This window comes from Homo sapiens, chromosome 10 (assembly GCF_000001405.40).
Source record: "Homo sapiens chromosome 10, GRCh38.p14 Primary Assembly".
Taxonomy (NCBI): Eukaryota; Metazoa; Chordata; class Mammalia; order Primates; family Hominidae; genus Homo; species Homo sapiens.
The window spans coordinates 58,629,233-58,651,340 of NC_000010.11; the positions used below are offsets into that span (position 1 = coordinate 58,629,233).

Genomic DNA, 22,108 nt, shown 5'->3' on the forward strand with positions numbered 1-22,108 from the left:
GAAGAATCAATGCAGTTTAAAGCTGGATGTGGTATTGTCTTTTTCTTCTAGTCGGGGATATCGTGGTCTAAATAGTCGTAGATTGATTTTTTTTTTTCAAGTTTATACAGGTTGTTGGTGGCAGCCAGAACTTAGCGATATTCTGACTTTATGCTTGGCTACTATTAATACAAGATAAATGTTTTTATTTAAATCGGCAATTATCATGCCCACATTAATGGGCTATGCATCTATAGTGAGAGAGGTTCTGCCTAAAACTGTAAGTTTTGCTAAGTAGGGCTCTGAATTAGGGTCATTGTGGCATATTAGAGGGACAACCAAAAGGCTGGGGGCAAATTAATATACTAAATAAATGTATGGATTTTGTAGTACTTTGTATTTTGTTTAAATAGATTCAGAATCACACTAAGGTTTATCATTTTGAAGTTTGTACCTTTGGTACCTTACTTTTTAAATTTCATCTAGGAGATTTACAGTAATGATTTGTTGTCATCTCATGAATCGTTTCTAAATTTGAGTTTGGGAATCTTTCTGGTTTCTTAACAATGATCTTTGGCTTGATGTATTTGATGTTTTTGCATTTTATCTTGGCAAAGTATGTTGCGTTAAAATTTGTTTTTTGGCCAATTCAATTCTTTAACCTTTAGGCACTGTTATTCAATTCAACTTGCTTTCCTTTCTAAATAGCCCTTTTAAATTTCTAGGCTTTGTAGTTTACATGATTATAGCTCCTACCTTGCTGCATGAAAAAGGAGAGGAGAAGGCCTTATTTTGCACCACTCGACTCTGCTTCCCTGCTCTTCCAGCCACAGCTGCTTGGGCCAGGATGTGGGTGCCACATGCAGCAACAAACCTTCTCTATACAGTGTACGTGACCTATGTGGCATGCTCTGTGAACTCAGCTGAGCCAGACTCATCTCTATTGAGTTAGGAAGCTAAGATCAAGAGTGGGAATGAGAAGAGAATGGGGAGGGTCATGAGGTAGCATGGAGTGAGGGAGAGGCCAGGAGTGGTGCTGTTGATCATGGGAAAGCTGGGGTTAGGAGAGGGAGAAGCTGTGAATAAGTGGTGAAGACCCATCCACGGAGGGAAGCATGAAGCAGAAGACAGAGGGGGAAAAAGATGTTCCAGAGTGAGCGATGCTCCTACTTGGAGTTGGCACAGTTTGGGATGCATCTCAGGTTCTTTTCCTGTTTTTGTTTTGTTTTGTTTAAAGAGATGGGTTTTGCTCTGTTGCCCAGGCTGGAGTGTGGTGGCCTGATCATAGCTCACTACAGCCTAGAACTCCTGGGCTCCAGCCATCCTCCCACCTTAGCCTCCTGAGTAGCTGAGACTATTGACATGCGCCACCACGCCTAGCTTTCAGGTTCTGATCTATAGGTGTCCCTAGAGTCTTCCCCTTCTCCTGATGTAGTTGGGAAACTCTACAAGGCCTAAATCATGAATTCAACTGTGATGCATAAAAGACATTCAGTTAACTGGGATAATTGCATAATCCCCTTTTCTTCAAAGGGTTTATGCATTCACATGTTAACAAAATTTGGTGTTTGTAGAGTAGTTTAGCTCCTCAGTGAGTGCCCCAAATTAAGTTATATCTTTAAAGGAGCAGTGCTCTTTATATAAAAGGTATTTCTGTCAAATCTGTCATTTAAAATATGTATACTGCAGCAATACTACGGTAAAATATTAGACCATACTATACCAGTGTATGGTGAACTCTCTCCATATATTACATATATACTATAAAGTATATATGTTTCTTTTTGCTAGTCAGTTACCAGCATTATTCAAGAAATAATGGGGTTATTGACGTTAATATGTTAGGTGAAAAAAGTGAGTGCTGTCCTTTTATGTTACTGAGCTTTTATCCTGCATATCAGAATTTCCTTTCTCTTTGTCATTGGCATTAATATTGTTTTCATCCCTCTTACACTTCTGTGGGAAGTTTGTAGACAGCCAACATGCAGAAAGGTTAGCATGGCAGATAAATATTTTCTATTTTTCTTATTGATAGTTACGGAGAATGCTTTGTTACTCTATGCCTCTCTAAGTAACATGATCCTTGAATAGATGTATTAAATATCCTAGTGTTACTCTCTCATTTTATATGTTTAACAGTTGCGGCTTGTCCCAAACTGGCTCTTTGGCAGGTTTTTTTCTTTCTTTTTTTTTAAATTCATTGGATGTAAATTTCTTCCTAAAAGGAGTTGTCTTTTGGCATTTTAAGTAGTGGAAAAATAAATTTCATTATCTTTCTTCTTTCTTTTTTTTTGTGAAATCAAAATTATCAAGAAATGTGTACATATGGCTTTTCTTCTTAGCATTTGCTACTTTTGTTACTTTTGTCACCCTGGATTATCCAGTTATTCAAATTTTCTGCTTCTCAATGGGCAAAGTACCGATAAGTAGGGAAGGAGGGAATTTAGCCAAAGTTGTAACTGACAATAAGCAAAATATAGAGGCCTCTGTGTTTCCTGCTTGGTTCTCTTTCTTGAGTTCATCACTAATTTTATGAAAGAAGAAAACAAAACAGAAAAATAACCAGCTTCAATTTCCACGTGCCTGTTTATTCTGGAGTTACCAGGAAACCTTAATCTCCAGTGAATAAGAACACTTTAAACCCAAAGTTGTTTGGGTTTGTTTTCTTAAATAGAACTTCTTCCTGTTATGTTTTCCTATTGGCATTTGTAAAACAATGATTCATGTGTAAATCAGTAGGAGGTGCTCTTTGAGAAGCTTCCTAGGTTGGTAGGTTCCAGAGCCTAAGCTTTTCTTGGCTTCAGTCAGTATGTTGAGAGGGGAAGGTATTAACAAGATCAAGGAAGTGATAGTTTTCGGTATGTAGTTGGAAAGTGGGTATGTGTGTCTTCTCATTTGAATATCACTTTGTTGTCCTTTTCATATATTAATATGATGGGCTACCTCATAATCTGGGAATCCAAAAATTATCCTGCCTTCTTCTAAATTCCATGAGAATACTAAAGAAGAAGTAATTTTAACTTTCAAAGAGCTTTTATTCTGAAGGGAAAAGATGCTTGTAAGATGGTGTTAGCATGCATGTGTGCAGGCTTCACAGAGCTGCTAAGGACGCCATTCATGAGACATTATTGCCCTCCCTCTGAGCCAGACACTATACCATGTACAGTTCTACAGAGGGGGAAGGGTGGCCCTATGGCTTCTCTCCTCAAGAGGGGCATACTCCAGAGGAGAAGTGGCACAGAAGTGCCATCCAGTGTGGCGAGAGCTTTACAATGGAGGAAACGGAGGGAGTGATTTTTTTTTTTTTCCCCTATTCTGAGGACTCAGGGAAGATGGATTTCTTGGGAGAAAGTGTTTGAGGTGCGTTTTGAGGACTAGGTAAAAGGAATTTAACTAGTATGTTGGGTGAAGTGAGGAAAGGCTTTGTGGCACAGTTTCTGAGCAGGGGGCAGTTTAGATTAGATTAAGATGCCTTCCAGACCTGTGACTCCATGACCTGAATGTCCTAATGGAGACAAAATAGGCATTTCCAGCAGAAAGAACCAACTGATTGCCTTTGCAAAGGCAGAATAAAGGACAGAGGAGACTGTTTTTTTCTCATATAGCCCAGAAAACAGATTAAAGGTTTTACATAGATAGATAGATAGATGGATAGATAGATAGATAGATAGATATCACTTCATCTGAGCTAGTTATTTAAAAATTCTTTAAGTGAAAGGTTTAGAGGATATGTAGAAGGATTTGAAATCTAAAAGTTAGGAGATCATATTGTTTCTATTCATTATTGATATGGTTTGGCTGTGTTCCCACCCAAATCTCACCTTGGATTGTAATAATCCCCACGTGTCAAGGGTGGGGCCAGGTGGAGATAACTGAATCATGGGGGATGTTTCCCCTATACTTTTCTTGTGATAGTGAATAAGTCTGGGAGATCTGATGGTTTTTTAAATGGGAGTTCCCCTGCACAAGCCCTGTAAGACATGACTTTGCTCCCCATTTGCCTTCCACCACGATTGTGAGGCCTCTGCAGCCATGTGCAACTGTGAGCCAATTAAACCTCTTTCTTTGATAAATTACCCGGTCTTGGGTATGTGTTTATTAGCAGCATGAGAACAAACTAATACAATTGTCTACTCAAAGAGGATGAGAATTAAAAATGATAGCCAGGGTGACCAAACATTTTGCAGTATAGTTGCTTTGCAGCATCTGACTTCATTAGTGCCAGGTAAGGGACAAATTATTACTTTTTTCCACTACCTTCCTAAATGATAAATGCATTCCTAGCAAGATTAACTTTTAACTATGCTTTGAAACATGAGTTTTCAGCTATTGTGATGCCATCATTACATTCTGAATGATAAAATTGCCAAGTTCAGAATGACAGCTGTAAAATAAATGGCATCATTTAATTAAGTTCTGAACTTTTGATGATATGCAGTTTAAAAAAAATGTATTTTCCAGGAAAACAGTTGGAAGTTTCGACTTTGTGGTTTACTTTTGGCTGTGTTTTATGGAAATCACATGAAAACTTCTGAGAAAAAGAGACAAATGATTCAAATTTTGCAAGTAATAGAAAATTGGGTTCCATTTGTATAAAAGATTCCCTGAAATCATTCACTATCAGTTTAGCACACTCTGGTATTAGCATTTAACCACCAGTATATTGATGAACAAGTACAGAGGAGAAAGCCAAGGATATTTGAGATCCAGTATCATATGCAGAATAAATGTAATAACTTTTAGGGGCGGAATTTCTTTTCTTTTTCTTTTTTTTTTTTCTTTTCTTTTTTTTTTTTTTTTTAGATGGAGTTTTGCTCTCGTTGCCCAAGCTGGAGTGCAATGGCGCAATGTCAGCTCACTGCAACCTCCACCTCCCAGGTTCAAGCAATTCTGCCTCAGCCTCCTGAGTAGCTGGGATTACAGGTGCACGCCACCACGACTGGCTAATTTTTTGTATTTTTAGTAGAAACAGCATTTCACTATGTTAGCCAGACTGTTCTCAAACTCCTGACCTCAGGTGATCCACCGCCTCGGCCTGCCAAAGTGCTGGGATTACAGGTGTGAGCCACCACGCCTGGCCTAGGGGCAGATTTTCAGTTGAATTATTAACTGGAATTCATGTTCCTGTTCCCATTTCTCCAGTTCTACCGTCAGCCATTTTAGTGATAGTAAACTCTTAATCTAGAGCACCATTCTTAACCCCAGGTACAGGTTTGTCTGAGGAACTTTTAAAAATTATTGATGCTTTAACTAGAGATTCTGATTTATTTGTTCTGAAAGTAAGGCCTTAGCATTAGTATTTTTTGGAAAAGCTCCTCAGGTGACATTACTCTGTAGCTAAGGTTGGGAACTACTGATGTGCAGTATGGGTAGGTACAAAGAAAAGTTGTAAATTCTTGTTGGTCTCTACCTCTGATAAAAGGAAAGGAATTACATTTTACTCTTGAACAACACAGTGGCGAGGGTTGCCAGCCCCCACCCCACTGTGCAGTCAAAAATTTGTGTATAATTTTCTCTCCCCAAAAGCTGAACTATTGATAGCCTAGTGTTGACCAGAAGCCTTACTGATAAAATCATCAAATAACATGCATTTTGTATGTTATATATATGGTATAACGTATTCTTACAATAATCTAGAGAAAATAAAATATTTTTAAGAAAATCGTAAGGAAGAGAAAATACATTAATTATTCATTAAGTGGAAGTGGATCATCATAAAGGTCTTTATCCTCATCATATTCATGTTGAGTAGGCTGAGAAGGTGGAAAAAGAGGAGAGGTTGGTCTTGTCTCAGGGGTGGCAGAGGCAAAAGAAAATCTGTGGTAGACCCGTCACAGTTTAAACTCCTGTTGTTCAAGAGTCAACTGTATATGTATTTTGTGTATGTGTGTCAATTACTGATGGATTTAACTTTCTGTTCAGTTTCATTCTCTTAGAGGGTATACTGTGAGATACTAGTTCTGCACTATCTTAATAAATATATGAAAAAAGTTCCATGGTAAGATAAGTTTGAGAAATACAGGCATTTACAGTTAAAAAATAGTTCTTTCCTATAAAACTGGTTGCAAACTTAAATGTGCTGGTTATTTGCATTTTATGCATTTGTTACAGAAATATGTAATTTGTGGCACTTCCCAGTATTGTTTGATGAAATGATTTCTTTTTCTTGCTAGAAACTCCATTCTACAAAATTAAACAATCAGTGAATCAGTTGGAAATTCATTTTTTTCATTTACTGAGATCTGTGTTAGGAATGGATGTGATGTAGCTATACAACAGAGGCTCTCTTGAAAAGTTCCTCAGTGAGCCTTATCAGAAGGGTGAGAGTGTAAATTATTCCAAGGTACACAATTCTTTTCTAAAAGACAACTGTTACCTTTTTATATCCATGCTCAGAATTTCTCTGACAACTCACCATTGCCTTCCAGGTAAAATTAAATAAATATCCACCTTTGACATCAAATGTTTATTATAGTCTGATCCCTTCCTACTGATATAACTTTGTTTCCCATTGCCCCTCAACTCAAGCCTTTCTCTTGTCAACCAGTGGTATCCCCAAGCCCTGATCGTTCTTGACTCTAACAGCGATACATAAAAATATATCCCCAACTAGAACGTCTTTTTTTCCTCTTTGTCTCTGGCCCTCTCCATTAGTTATATATTTAAAAGTCCGTCATTTGGCATTTTCTGGACTAGCCCAGCCTGTGATGACAGTTCCCACTTCTTTATATGTTAAACTTACATATCTGTGGTCACTTTGTTTGGATTTTCTTAGAAAGTCAATTTTCTTGTTTTGTTCTCTTGTTATGAGTTGATACACTAATAGTCCAACTAGTTTCTGAATCTTGAATTGAGACACTCAAATGTTTTGGGACCTAACACATTGTTCTGTGTATTTGGTGGGGTGAAGTAACTCTGTAGAATTGTGATGTTGTGGGACTGTATGGGACCTTAAAGATTTCCTAGTTTAGCAAGTGTACAAAGGAGGATAAGACCTAGCATTTTTAAGTGATTTATCTGAGTCATATGACTAGCCATTTGTTGAATCTGGGGAGAAAACCCAATTCAACACTGTTTATTACACTGACAATTCATAACTTTAAAAAATCTGTGCTCTTTCAAGAGAAATTAAATTTCGTATTTGTCTTTCTTAATGGGAAAACACAGTAAATTAAATATTATTAAAGCAATAAGAGGTAGTGCTATCTTGTCCCATCCTCCTGCCTCCCCACCTCCTCCCCAACACACAAAAAGATCCTATGGGTGTTCTTAAGGAGCTGTTGTCTGAGATAGGGCCTAGGAAGTAGGTTTTTAAAACTTGGGTGATCCAGAGCGGATGATGATATGCATTCTTCCATACACATCATTGTCTCCTCCTCCTCCTCCTCCTTCTCCCTTTTTTCCTTCCCCAATTCATGCCAGGCTGTCATTTTGAATCAATAAGTGAATGTAACAAATAAGAGATGTTAATACTATGAAGAATACTGAACTAGGAGCCATGAGTTCTGGCTTTGAATTCCAGTACAGTCACCAGCTGTGAAATCTTGGGCAAGTCATTTGACAACTGAGCTTCAGTTCTCCTGCTTAGAAAATGGGGATAATTCCTCATAGAATTGATGTTAAAATTGGTTGAAATATGCACTCAAAAGTGCTTTATAAACAGTAAAGCATTGAGCAAATGCGAGAGATGATTTGATTCTTTAGAGAAGACCCTTTCATTCTAGTGTTTGCATCCTCTGGCTGGGGGGAAGGCTGTGTGGCTGATGTAGGATGAGGCACCTTCCATATCTTTAGTTGCTTGAAAAAAACCACACACAGTTCTATAATATTTTTGGCAATTTGTCTCAGTTTAAAGCTGTGATCGTAACTTTTATTTGGGGATACTACTTTCTTGATTCTTATATGGGGAAAAATTCCATTTGTTGGTTTCCTTTTATTTAAATATGTTTATGTATTTTGCATTTTAGAATAAAAACATTTCCTTCTCGAGTGAAGATTTTTTTTCTTTTCTTTTGAGGTGGTGGTTAAGTTCTCATGTAATAGGATAGTTGGTTGCTATTAGAAATATGTTTTTTCCTTTGTTATGAAATGGAAAATTGTCAGAAACTGATAGGCTGTGGTTAGATGAGGTTTGCTACCAATAAAGAATTATCAGGGTAAACTGAACTTTCATTTAGGATGCAAAAATATTTGTTTTGCTTGGCAGCATGGCATAAAAAGAAAATCCAAGAAACTTCTTGTTTCAGGAGCTGCCAGTTCTCTCTGTGGCTCAAAGAACGTTTCGTGTCTCAGCCACAAGAATTTGCCGCTGGTTCTGATGTTCATTGTCTTCCCTCCTCACGCACGCTTTGCTTTCAGCTTTTGGCTTTACAGCCCTTTGCTATAAGATGATGAAAGTCCTTCCAGGGCTACTCATTAACTTTCCCTTCTACATCTTACTGGTATGAATAGTGGGAGCCTTTCATCTTTATTGTTATGAAAGCTTTTATAGAATATTGAATGCAGGGCACTGTGTTAGAGCTCTGTAAAACATGATAACATAGTAGATTCTGTCAGTTATTGGCTGTGAGTAGAGGTAGTTTGTTGAGGATCAGTATAGGTACCAGTGGCATAACTTATAAATTGGGACAGGCATGGTGGACCAGAGGGGATCTAGTAACTAAGCACTGTGATAGCCAGGGGAATCACTTAAACAGGACCAGTAAGGTACAGAAGGCCTGGGAATTTGGGGGAGGTATGCGAACAGGAAGATAAAGGGACTGATATTAGGAAATTAGAAGGAAGAATCTTGGATGTAGGATGTAGTGGAATGAAGTGGATTTTAAAGTTTCTAATACTAAATGACAGACATAGTAACATCTAGCAGGAGGGCTGTTTTGGAGGAAAAAAAGAATGTAATTTTAACTAATACGATGACTTTTAAGTCTAGGTGGTAAGGTTTAGAGTAACAGAGCAGGGCTGGAAATAGTGACTTATTAGGAATTAACTTGCATTCCAGAAATTGAGGGTTCATGTAGAATTGCCTGTAAGCCAGGAGTTTTCTTATTCATCTCTTTAATGTTATAGAAAATAACATCTGTACTTTATGGTAAGTAATTACAGAGTTAAAAAAAAAGGCCATTTGAAAAAAACAGCTTAAAAATGTCAAATAGGAAATGTGGGGATAAGTGTATTCTTTTCAAAATGTGGTTCTGAATTGGACTAACTCAAGCTGCAGTTAAAGGAAAAAAGGCTCGTTTATTTGACTCTTGCCTTCTTTGCTTTCTCCCTGTCTCAGGCTCCTTTCCCCAACGCCTCTCCCCTTTTTGGTCTCAGTGCTTCTGAAATGTAGACACTGGTCTACACATGGGTCACCCAGAGTTCACAGACTTGAAAGTCCTCTTATTCCCAAGAGCTGTGTGTGCCTCATCAGCCTTCTCTGGGTTTTGTGGCAGGGGGTGATGAGAAAGGATGCCCAGAGGCTACTTGTACCAATAAGAGCCACCGCTTGTTGTGAAAAGAGCACCAATGAGGAGAAAGCAGGCAGAGATAGTCCCGGCACTGGGTATCTCTTCAAGGCCTCTGGTTCCGTTATTCGTCAAAGGAGGGGTAGAACTAAGCATATGGTCTCTAAAGCTTTGAAATTCTTTTTTCTTTTCTTTTCTTTTCTTTTTTCTCTTCTCTTTTTTCTCTTCTCTTTTTTCTTTTCTTTTCCTTTTTCTTCCCTCCCTCCCTCCCTCGTTTGCTTTCATCTTTTTCTTTCTTGCAGTTGACAAATAAAAATTGTATATATTTATGGTGTACATATTTCATTGTATATATGTACATTGTGGAATAGCTAAATCAAGCTAATTAACGTATGCATTACTTCATATAATTATCTTTTTTGTGGTAAGAACACCTAAAATCTACTCAGCAATTTTCAAGTATAAAATACATTGTTATTAACTAGTCACCATGTTGTATAATAGATCTCTGAATTATTCCTCCTAACTGAAAATTTTTTTAGTGTGCAGAAGATCCATATCTATACCCTAAGTGTTCCCAATAAATCAAAATAGTGTCCAAGAAGCAGCTCACAGAGCATATTTGTTTTCAATGTGAGATTTATGTAGCACTTTTATATTTGCCAAAGCTTTTATTTTCCTAAATTCCCCAGTGAAGTAGGGCAACAAGAAGATCATCAGTGGTGAGTCTGCCATTTAAATTTTTTTTTTTTTTTTTGAGACAGAGTCTCACACTCACCCAGGCTGGAGTGCAGTGGTGCAATCTCGGCTCACTGCAACCTCTGCCTCCTGGGTTCAAGCAATTCTCCTGCCTCAGCCTCCCAAGTAGTAGCTGGGATTACAGGCGCCTGCCACCACACCCAGCTAATTGTTTTTTTTTTTTTTTTTTTTTGTATTTTTAGTAGCGATGGGGTTTCACCATGTTGGCCAGCCTGGTCTCGAACTCCTGACCTCAGGTGATCCACCTGCCTTGACCTCCCAAAGTTCTGGAATTACAGGTATGAGCCACTGTGCCCGGCCAAATTTTTTTTTTTTTTTTTTTTTTTGAGACAGGGTCCTTCGTCTCCCAGGCTGGGGTACATCTTGGCTCAATGAAGCCTCAACCTCCCAGGCTCAAGTGATCCTCCTACCTCAGCCTCCCGAGTAGCTGGGACTAAAGGCATGTGCCACCATGCCTGGCTAATTTTTGTATTTTTTGTAGAGACAGGGTTTCGCCATGTTGCCCAGACTGGCTGCCATTGAAATTAATCCAGTGTAATCTTCTCAAATGCAGTGTAGTATTGAGAAACGGGGTCCAGTGCAACAAAGAGTTTATGATTTTCCCTGAGCCTCATCCCTAAGATCTTGTTAACCAAATTTTGGACAGAAATGGTAATTTTTCAGTAAGCATAAGATAACATTACTTTTTATTCTTTTTTTTCTGATGGGAGTACTGATCAGTAAATTAAGCAATATAAGCTTCTTAGAAAAGATTGGGTTGGAAAAAGAATTGAATCCACACTGTAGTTTTGTTCTGGATTTACATTATATGCCCTGCCTGTGTTTACTGACAACATTCCTCGAGCATTTTATTTGCTATTTGGATATAAAAAGGTGTCAGTTGTATAGGAAGAAACCAAAGTTATAATAGAGTGTTTGTACCAAAATGTTTACCTATAAACAGGTAGGGCTGTCATGAAATGCAATAACTAATCCTTATCCATACTGAAGAAAGCTGCATTGTGGCTTTTTTACATGCAAAGTCTTAAGGTGTTATAACTTAAGTTAGATTTTAAATAAATTATGGACTGCCCTTCTTCCCTTTGTGACCTCTTAAATCTCTGAGACCAAAAATATTTACATATGCAGCTTATAGACATTTGTTAAACCCTAAGATGGTTATTGCAGCCATGGGATACTCAATTAACTGTGCATTTACTCACCAAAAATTGTTTTTGAGCCCACTAGTGTGTGGCAGGTACTGAGTTGGGCCTTTGGAATACAGTGGTGAGCAGTTATGACATGGATTCTGCCATTATGGAGCAAACATAAATTTCACTGAAGAATGCAGACAAAGTATAGAGAAATGAGTAGATAGAATAATTACTGATTATAATGTGTCTACGAAAGAAACAACTTGGAAGGGACCTATTACATGGTGAACACATCAAGTAAAAAGCTCTTCAATTTTTAAACAAAATAATTTTGAGGGACAGCTAAATTTTCATCACTTGCTTTGGATAGATAAAAAGCTTTCTTAAGTGTCTATTTCAACTTTCAAAAGCAGTTCTTTGCTTTTCCACTTAGAAAAACACATTTAAAAATTCTTGCCCATTGAGGATATAATTGTATTTTCTTTCAATTGTCTTTATTGGAATTCTTTTACAATTCTTCCAAAACAATAATACATTCCTTAGAGCTGAGCCTCAGCAGGAAAAATGAAGCATCTCATTTGATGTATTATTCCATTACCTATGATGTCAAGGCAGTTGGTAAATAATTTCTTTTTATAGAGCAACCACAGGGGTTGCTAACAGTGCAATCCCCAGGAAATGATTTTGGGAAGCTCTATCATGCGATGGCTGCTATTCATTATCTACTCTGTGTTGGACAGGCTCGGGGTTTTGTTTGCCTTTTAAATCAGGGCAACACTTGCATTGTGGTTTTGCCGTCGTGCCCTTGCTTCATGTTGGAATTTTTCTAGGACTTATTGCAGATTCAGAGGCAGATGTTTGTCTTCCTGAGGTTAGGAGATGATTTGGCGCCATCTAGGTTGACTTCTTTTTTTTCTTTCCTTTTTTTTTTTGCTTTCCTGGAACAAACACTATTACCAAATACATTTCAAGCAATGAAAATAGCTCAGTAGAAATGGTATGGTGGTGCCTTCATACCCTTGGCTATTCGAGTATTGACTAGTCTTAGAGAGATTAATCATTTGTAATTTTAAGTTCTAATAATACAGCGAAGGTTATCATTTGTATTTTAGGAAACTTTATAGCCTCTGTACTTTGTAATGGAGAATGAGTTGGCTGTGGGGTTAACAATGTGGTTATATAGATAAAACCTCTTTTGAGAGATTCTTTTTTCAAGAAATTGTGGTAAAACACACATAAAAGTTACCATTTTAACCATTTTTAAGTATACAGTCTAGTGGTGTTAGCATTGTTGGGATTCACATTGTGTTAGGAATTCACATTGTGATTCACATTGTGTTGGAATGTGAATCACAGCAGTATGAATGTACCTAACGTTGCTATTTTGACGTCTAAATGGCCACATGTTTTCAGAGAAAATAATTTAACATTGAAACATAGTTACAAAATATCTTGCAGGGAAGACACAATTTGAAATTGTAATAGCAGTGCTGCAAGTTTATAGTAAAACTGGAATAGCCAGGTCTCTTCAAGGCCAGCTTTGCACATTTAAGTGAATAGTAAATAGTTACTCTAAAGCTGGCATTTAGAATTATTAATTAATTGGTAAGTGCTGAATACCTGGAAAATAGCCCAGGGAAGTATCTGCATTTTGTGAGGTGTGAGTTAGGCTCTGCACTTTCGGGGTGAATGAAAATGAACAGCAGCTACTCATGGTGGCTTCTTATTCCTGAGTTCCGAAAGAGGCTGGGGGTGTTTTCATGTACTGAGTACTGTCATTATGTAGATCTTAGCTTGTCTTCCCTGAAATGTTTATTAAATCTCTATGTGTTGTGTTCCAGGGTGTGGAAGAGTGACTTTGGTTGGTTAGAGGAAGAGGTCAGAATGATGAGTTCTAGGTTGGCATTATTCCTGGAATGTCATGGAACTTTTCCTGTAATGAGTTCCTGGTGACTTGAGAACATTTGCAAAACCGTGCCCTCAACGTCTAGCTGTGCAGTCATCCTTTCTGTTCCACTCAGCCAGTGGTCTCCCAGGAAAGTGTGGTTGACTGTACAACCCATCATTCTATTGCACCAGTCACCAAAAACACATATGCTCCTGACAATATGAACCATTTATTATTATTATTATTATTATTATTATTATTATTATTATTATTATTATTATTATTGAGGCAGGATCTTGCTCTGCCACCCAGGTTGGAGTGCAGTGATGTGATCACGGCTTACTGCAGTCTTGACCTCCTGGGCTTAGGCAATTCTCCCCACTCAGCCTCCTGAGTAGCTGGGACTACATGTGTGTGCAACCATGCTCGGCTAATTTTTTTTACTATTTTTGTAGAGATGGGGTCTTTGTTGCCCAGGCCAGTCGCAAACTCCTTGGCTCAAGCAATCCTCCTGCCTCGGCCTCCCAAAGTGCTAGGATTACAGGCATGAGCCACTGCGTCTGGCCCTGTCTTTATTATTCTTGTAAACTTAATGTCTGCAAGGTGTTATTTACCAAAGAGGTTTGTAAACCAGATGTCTCTTCTCTTGAACACTAATGAATAAAATCTTGTATTTTTTGGCTTTCTCAGCTAATCATTACTTAAACCTTCAGCTTAAAAACTGGGGAATTGAAATCCCTGTGGCTGGCTAGTCCTCTGAAGGCTTTGTGATGATGTCACTCTCAGATCGGGACAGAAGCATTCAAGAGAGGGATAATACTCTTGCTTATGTGACAGCTGTATGTGTCCAAGAGCATTTGGCTACATTCAGTGATTTGATGGCCTTGTTCTGATTACAGAGCTCTTTGCTATCTTCTTCCTTTGCATTGAATTTTGTCAAATTTCCCAGGTATTCTCTGAAGAAAGTTCCTCTTTAGTTGTCAATCACCACCTGTCCATCAGAGAAATCTTTTAGCTACCTCTAAATGTGAGCTTGGCTGGGCTAGGTTGAATGATAGAATTCTTGTATTTTTAGAGTGAATTCTGAATAGCAGAATGGTCAGGACTTACAGTACATTATTTTATCCTTTGTTCCAAAAAGGGGTTTGAAGTGGCTTAACAATTTACATTTAGTAATACAGACTGAAAAATAAATAGAAGAGGAAATTGTTGTGAAGGGAAAATAAGTGTTGGAAAATAATTTGAGAGGAGGAACAATAAGATTTGTACACAACACACACCAACAGGATCTGAGCTTCCTCCATGGCCACAGCAGAAAAGGAAGCCTGACCATTTAGGAGAACCACAAGGTCCATGAGATTAAAAATAAATTAGTGGCTCTGGAAGATCACAGGCTTTATTGCTACAGGAACCTTGGAGGAGCTTCTGTTAATTACCTAATGAGACACTGCAGTGTGTGTCTGGCAGAATATGTCCTCAACAGCACCTACCCTGCTGAAATATGGTTGTTTCCTGTTATGTGTCAGTATAGGAAATAATATAGTTTGCTTTCTATTGTGTGCTAATATGACTTAAATCAGTTCTAAAAAAGTTAGAAATTTTTTTGGAATATCTACGATGAGATATATACCTGTCAGTCCTCCATGAATTTCTCCCAGCTGAGTTAGATAAGGTGGTTATCTGGCCTTTAGAATATTATTATTGCTAATAATTATTACAGTAGCACCAGTTACAACACATAGCTACTCTTTCCCAAGTACCTATAATGTTTTAAGCATCATACTAGGGCACTTGCTACAGAAGAGATCTCTCAATTCTCAGGGAAACCGCGTGGCTTTATTCTTATTTTAGAGAAAGAAAATTGGCTCAAAGACTTTGACTGACTTGGCCAGGTTTGCCTGGCTACCACTCCCTGTGTGCCTGGCCCCGATTCTTCTACCTGAGACCCAGAAGTTGTGTAAGGAAGACAGTTTAGCTCTTTTGAGTCAACTCCCTAAAACAATCGATCCTTTTCTCCTGTTAGTCTGTGCAGCACAGAAACAGAACTCCACCCGTCCCCGTGCCTGGGAAGTCTCTGGTTTTTGTTTAAGGCATGTGTATCCTATACGTGCCTTGTGGCAATTCCACAGCTGGCTCCCTTTAGGCTCCATGGAATTGTACATCTAGGGCCACGTTAGAGTGATCGAAAAAACTAGATAAGGATAAGTATTTTCTTGTTTTAACTTTTTAAATGTTCTTAAGCTTCGAAAATTGAATTGAATTTAATTTGGCCAACGTTGTCAGGAAGGGCAAGCTTATAAAAAGAAAAAAATAACCTTTCATGTAAAGTTATTTGAAATCTCATAATATTTCTACTGTGCCTTTTTGATTAAAAATTTAAGTTAAAAGCAGTGATAGATTTTGCCTATCATTTTGATTTTTTAAGTTTATGTTCAAAAGTATGCCTATATATATTTTAAGTCAGAGCTGGGGTTACTTTTAAATACCGGTTCTTAATAACAATAAAAGGTCATCAAATAGTATTATGTTCACATTCTAAAAGGTTTAGTCTGTGTCTAAACAAAAAAAATTTTCTTTATATGGACAGAAAGAACTCCCCGCCCCACCAATACACACCCTCTTTCTTACACTTTGTAGTACCCTAGGTCAAAGTAGGGAAGCTCATGATATGTTTTAAAGAGGGAAAAGGTGGCCAGGCGCGGTGGCTCACGCCTGTAATCCCAGCACTTTGGGAGACCGAGGTGGGTGGATCACGAGGTCAGGAGATCGAGACCATCCTGACTAACTCGGTGAAACTTTGTCTCTATTAAAAATACAAAAAATTAGCTGGGTGTGGTGGTGGGCGCCTGTAGTCCCAGCTACTCGGGAGGCTGAGGCAGGAGAATGGTGAACCCGGGAGGCGGAGCTTGCAGTGAGCCGAGATCGCGCCACTGCGCTCCAGCCTGGGCGACAGAGCGAGACTCCATCTCAAAAAAAAAAAAAAAAAAAAAAAAAAAAAGAGGGAAAAGGTATGCAATTAGAACCAGATTGGCATTTTGGCAGGTATTTATTTTTCCAGGATGAACGTGCTTTCAAAAATTGCCAGTAGTTGCTAGGCAGACTTCAACAAACACAAAAGACATTTCCCAAGCATCTAACCTGGCTGGTTTCTCCATTTATATTTTGTGATCCTGGCTCGCAGTGTAGTAAACCCTATTACTATTTGAACTCGAAATACAGAATACTTCTGCCAGCAGTCCCATTGGCATTTTGCGGCAGTCATGAAGTTAAATTTTCTTCGCCAGGAGGCCAGTTGACTAACTTTAAACGAAGGCACATTGTCCAAGATTGTGGGCAGATCATTTGAACTGCCTTGAAGTTGAATAGAAACTATATAAAGAAAACAACTCCATCTTGCCAGAAGCAGTTGCCTTTTTATTTGGTGTTCTCCTTTCTGATCACTGAATTTTCCTGCTGAGTTTATGCTTATTGTATCTTTCTCTTTCCTCTGGCAAATGAACAGAACCCTCACATACGCAGTTATGGTCAGTCCTTTACTTAAATAACTTTGCTGGATGAATTTGGAACAATGCCAGAGAAACTGAAGAAACCCTTGTTTTTCTGGAATAGCAATTAGATTTGCAATGCTTTTTTTTTTTTTTCCTGAAGAACTGTTTAACCATAGATCTGTCCATTTCCTTATTTTTTGTTTGTTCATTCGTTTTTGTTTTCCACTACTTGTCCAGGCCAGCTTTTCCTAAGAATAGTATTATGCCATTTACTAATAGATGGGAAATGCAGACTAATTTTGAAGGCTAACAGTTTAAAAGTCAGCATCTTTTAAATGCGTTGATCATATTGGGGCAAAGTGCTAATAAATATAATTTTCCTTCCACATAGAGTAAGCATGCACAGCTGGGATAAGATTGCAAAATATTTATCCTGACTTGTAGTGGTAGTAAATGACCTATTTGTTTGGGCTAAAAGTCTCCATAATATAGTAACAGTTTTACCATATTTTCTAGTAAGTTATGACTATCATATATTCTTTAAAAAAGGTTTTAGGGTCTTGCAGGCTGTCTGCATTGTATTTGGATATTCATTACCTAAAAATGAGGGTATGGATTTCCTTCTGCATGTATAACCTCTTATTACTATTAACCCTTTATATTTAGTCTCATGTGTCTGGAACATTTTGATTGAGACTAGCATGATATCTCTGTGCCTCCTGTATAGAACTTCTTAGGAAACTCATAGCCGAAATGACGGGAGAAACAATTTTATTTTAGGCCATGGAGATTCTTGTGAAAAATGTTAACAAGTAGGTAGTGCTGTAGTTGGGAGATATATGTTCTTTCTTTCTTGCCTGTTCCTGATTTTTTTTAAATTAAATACTACAGTCAATTTTAGGGGGTTGACATGCTAGTTTTAAATACAACAGAAGGTATTTCTTTTCGTAGGTTAATATTCTATTTGGAAACATAGCCTTTTTCCTTCTTTCTCTCTTTCTTTCCTTTCTGTTTTTAAGTAAAAATGGTATATACTTATAGAAAGAAAAAAATTACAGAAAAATCCACAGCAGGAAGTAAAGAACAGCCAAATTCTCTCCCCAAAGATACTGTTATACATTTTGGAAGCATCTTTCTAATCATCTTCCTATGGTAGATATACCTGCATATACCACTTTAATTTAATTGTCATTTACTCTGTAAACTAGTCTGTATTCTGTTTTTTTCTAACCATCAACTTTTCTTGTTCGTAAATACAGATTTACAAAATCCTTTTTAGTTATAGTCTCACATCAAAAAATATCATTGTTTTATTTAGTAAGAAAAGTAGCATTAAACATTCACTATTTGCCTATAGTAACTATTGAAAACAGAATATTCCAAATTTCTACTGTAAGAAATTTAGTTCATAAAACATTGAAAGTGTATTATTTTAGGAAAGAGCATGAATGTCAAAATAACTTCGCTGCTTTGGAGAACCAAAAATCTTTGGCCTTTAGCTTATTTCAGAAGTTTGGAAGAACTTAAAGATAATTCATGAGTTTCAGAAGCATTTTAATACCATAAAATGCTACTTATCTGGAATCCAGAGAAATGAATCATAGTGGTTACAGTATCAAAGAGTGAGTGATTTTTTTCCCCAAGGTGATTTTTCCACACTCCTAAAAACCATCATCTTCACGATAACCTGTGTCTTTTCACTTGTCAGCACATTGAAATATAAGACTTTTCCAAATCCCAGAACCCTCTTTGGCTGCTCATAGCTACTTTTCAATCTTTTTGATGGGGTTTAAAGAGCTACCCTGCACCATTGCAAGAATGTGTGCTTAAGGGATTTGAAGAGGGCTTTCTCAGAAAAAAAAAAAAATGTGTATAATCACGTAAAGGAAGCATGGCTCTGCAAACATGAAACTAGCTGAATTTTTCTCCAGCTTCCTTCAGTGTTTAGCTGTGACCAGAATTACAGAGAAAGTTGATAAGCATGGTCCATCATCTACTGATTTTGTAAGTGTTGTAAACTGTTGGAGAATACACTGCATTAGTAATGCATTTTCCAGAAACCACATATTTTTTTCTACCTTTATGACATGCTAAGTTATTGTCTTAACTTGATCTGGTGGTTTCTTGCCTTACTTTAATTAGAAAAGATTTTCGGAAATACACATGACACAATCAACTGCATTTAAAAAAAAATGCTTTGCTTTTCTAGCAGGCCATTAGGCATAAGTAAGGGCAGTGTCTGCTCTTTTGACCAAGACTGTCTCCTCCGGTAGAGCATGGCTGAAGCCGTCTGCTTTAGGAGGGTGTAGTGTTTTGCAGCTGTAGATGCTGTTATATATAAAAATATTTTCACAACTGCCCTCTTTGAACTGTGTTCTCATATGTAACAGATTGTACACAACTCAGTGCTTCACCCTTGTACTGATCCTTCAGTGTTTTTTGTGTTCACCTATGTTAAATGTCATTTCTCTCTGTCCTTTGCCAGAGAGGCTTTTGAATCTAAGCCAAAAAAGGCATTTATTATACACAGAGTTATGTTCTCTGGCATGTAGAATACTCTTGTATGCTGGCCACTCCACTCGGACTTAGTGTATTCCTATAAATATGTCTGTTGCTTTCAAAGGCTATGATATGGAGGGAACAATGGTATGTTTAGTGCCTCTCTCTCTCTCTTTCTCTCTCTCTTTCTCTCTTACAGAGACACACACAGAGGATCTCATATCTTTAGGCATCAGAACGCTAAGGTACAGAATGCCTCTACACTGTTGGAAATCCTCTCTGTTGTTTGACCATAATGCTACTTGCTACTCCTGTCTTTTATCTTAATCATGATGACTCCTGATCACTCTGCTTTTCTCTTTCCTTTCTGCTTTTTCATTTTCTCTTGATAGTTGCACTATGCATGTTAGTATCACATGATTTGAGTAGGACCTTGCTTGTTATCCCATAATTGGCAACTAAGATTCAGAATGGAGAGCCATGTGGCCCTGGCATTCTGAAGAGTGCTTTGAAAGATCTGCCAACACTTGAAGGCATACACTTCTCCTTCACACTTAATGAGAGGTGGCAGAAACTTCTCTAATAACAACAGCCACTATTACAAACCACCCTACTACCCTGAACACCTTCTCCCCAATAAGAAGATTAAAGAGAGAAGAAAGAAGTACAAAGTCATTGGTGATAAAAGTGGTGGGAAATGGGTAGGCCCCATAAAGGCGAGTAGATGATCTCTTGGGAGAAAGAACTTTCCAAGGAAATCTCTCTTAAATATTGGGCATGTCTACAAGAGGAGGAGGCCAGAGTTTCTTTCCCTGGTTGCACAACTGCTTAAGTGACAGACTTGTTGATGTGCCCCAATGCCTATGAAAAGAGACTTGAAGAGAGAATTGGGGAGAAACTCTCCCGCAGTGTAGCATAAGTCAAGTAGGTATCACTGAATGAAGCTGGGCTTGTGCTCTCTCTCTGATAACCCACCCACGAAGCCTGCCTGCTAGGTTAGTAAAGCCCAGCAACTAGAGACCATCAGATATTCTGCTGGTATCAGAGGGTAAGGAGACATGGGAGATACCGATTTTCTCATGTTAGTGAAGTATGCAATGGGAACCCTCATGGGTGTCTTTTAAAAAAAACTCTTCAACTCCCACGAGAGAGCTGCACCTGTGGAGGCTGTCAGCAGCCAGTTAATATTAGAGAAGCACTGGGAAGCAGTGGAAAGAGAATTGTGACTGCATCCAGGTAAGTAAGGAGATATTTGCTTTTTCTTTGATCCCTTTTTCCTCTGAATAGCTAATCTCTATTGGTACTATTCCATGGGCTTTCCAGATATTGGCTCATCTAATCCTTCTAGCAACATGGGATTACATAGGTTCTACTGTTGTTCTTTTGCATGTATAGGAACTAAGGCACAGAAAGGTTTGTTACCTAGGATTTGGATTCAGGGGGTCTGGCTTCCAAGACCATGCTATCACTACCACATTGTACTTGTACTGCCCTACCACCCAATATTGAGATAAATCACTTTCAAATATTTTTTTGAATATAACCGTAAGAAATATATTGACCCACTACTTGACTCACTACGTAGCTACATAAAAATAATGAAACAACATTTCATGAAACAATACTTATATGTAATATAACCTTATCATTTTGTCTTGTTTTCTCTTACATTAACGATGCTAGTCACTATCTACTGAAGAGATGATCTGCAGCCCTGAAGAAGTTTGAAAGGAGAAAAGAACAGTGCCATTCCTAATGTATATTTCCTCTCTCTGTCTCTTTCTCCCTGTCTTCTTCCTTTACTCCACTGCCTCCCTTGCAAACCTGAGTTTCCTGAGCTGTTAACTCTAGCTGGTCATGTGGAGTAGGTTAACTTTGAATTAACTGGTTATGAGAGTGGAGTGTTACATTTCACTGGACTGAGTTTCTGATACTACAAGTGACCAGAACTTTATGGAATCTTACCTTAATGTTAATACATGAGAAAGAGGGATTCCAGAGAGCACAGTTAAAAACAGTGATGGTGTCCTATCCCCACCAAATGATGATTATTTTAGTGAGCTGGTTGTATCAGCCTTCAACTGTTTGGACTATGTGAGGGGCTTGCAGTCCAGTCAGGATGACCCTGTCTTCAAGGGGTTGTGCCTATCATCCATGGAACATTGGCTACACTATTCTTATTCATGGCTCAAATGGGGCTGTCAGGATTCTAATTCCAGACCTCAAGCTACTTTGTGTTACTAGCCTAGAGTAGGCTTTACTGAAATAGCTTATTTTGCTAAGTCAGACTTGTTTATTACTGCATTTATTATGTGCAGCACACTCATATTCATTCATTCCTCCTTGGCTTATAATTTCTTTTCAATAAAACTCAGGCTCCTCGTATCCTTTTTATAAGCTTTTCAAGTTAACCTGGAGCTCCCCTTGTTAAAAATAAATAAATAAGTCAAAATGAAAAGATGTCTTGGTAGGAGAAGGTGAAACCAACTGCAGTCAGTCTTTGAAAATTTACAAGACATACAAATGTTAATGGTAACACTTCTGTTAGAGTTTGTGGAATCATGCTTTTTAAAGACCAAAAAACTACTGGGCTCCCTCCTCACCCCACTCCCAGCTTACAAATTACTTTTGTAGACGATGAGGAATGCCTGCCCTGAGCACTTTCCAGGCTAAAATGATTGCTACCACGCTCTAAGCTTTGTGACCTTAATTGCCCATTTGTCTGGAAGTTGGAGTAAAGCCAGACTCTTCTCTAAGGGAGATTTTGGCCTTGTTCACAAATACTTCCTCTGCACAGTGAGATGGGTTGTCTGTCTTGGTTTTATTTGGCATGAGGCCATCTGCCTGTGTTGCGAGACAGTGAGCAGAAAAGACCCAGCACACACCACTATTGTGGAGGACATCACCCACCACATC

General features: G+C 38.1%; 1 protein-coding gene across 12 annotated transcripts in view; it reads left to right on the forward strand.

Annotated features, from left to right (window-relative positions):
• BICC1 (BicC family RNA binding protein 1) overlaps window positions 1-22,108 on the forward strand; it is a 319,216-nt gene that overhangs the window by 117,013 nt on the left and 180,095 nt on the right. Inside the window, exon 1 of one of the 12 annotated variants that reach the window (XM_005270169.6) lies at window positions 10,512-19,437. The exons of the other annotated variants lie outside the window; for them this stretch is intronic. Coding sequence (XP_005270226.1) covers window positions 19,342-19,437 — 96 coding nt within the window. The 5' untranslated portion in view covers window positions 10,512-19,341. Of the gene's footprint in view, window positions 1-10,511; window positions 19,438-22,108 lie in introns of those variants that run through there. 12 annotated transcript variants of the gene reach the window in all.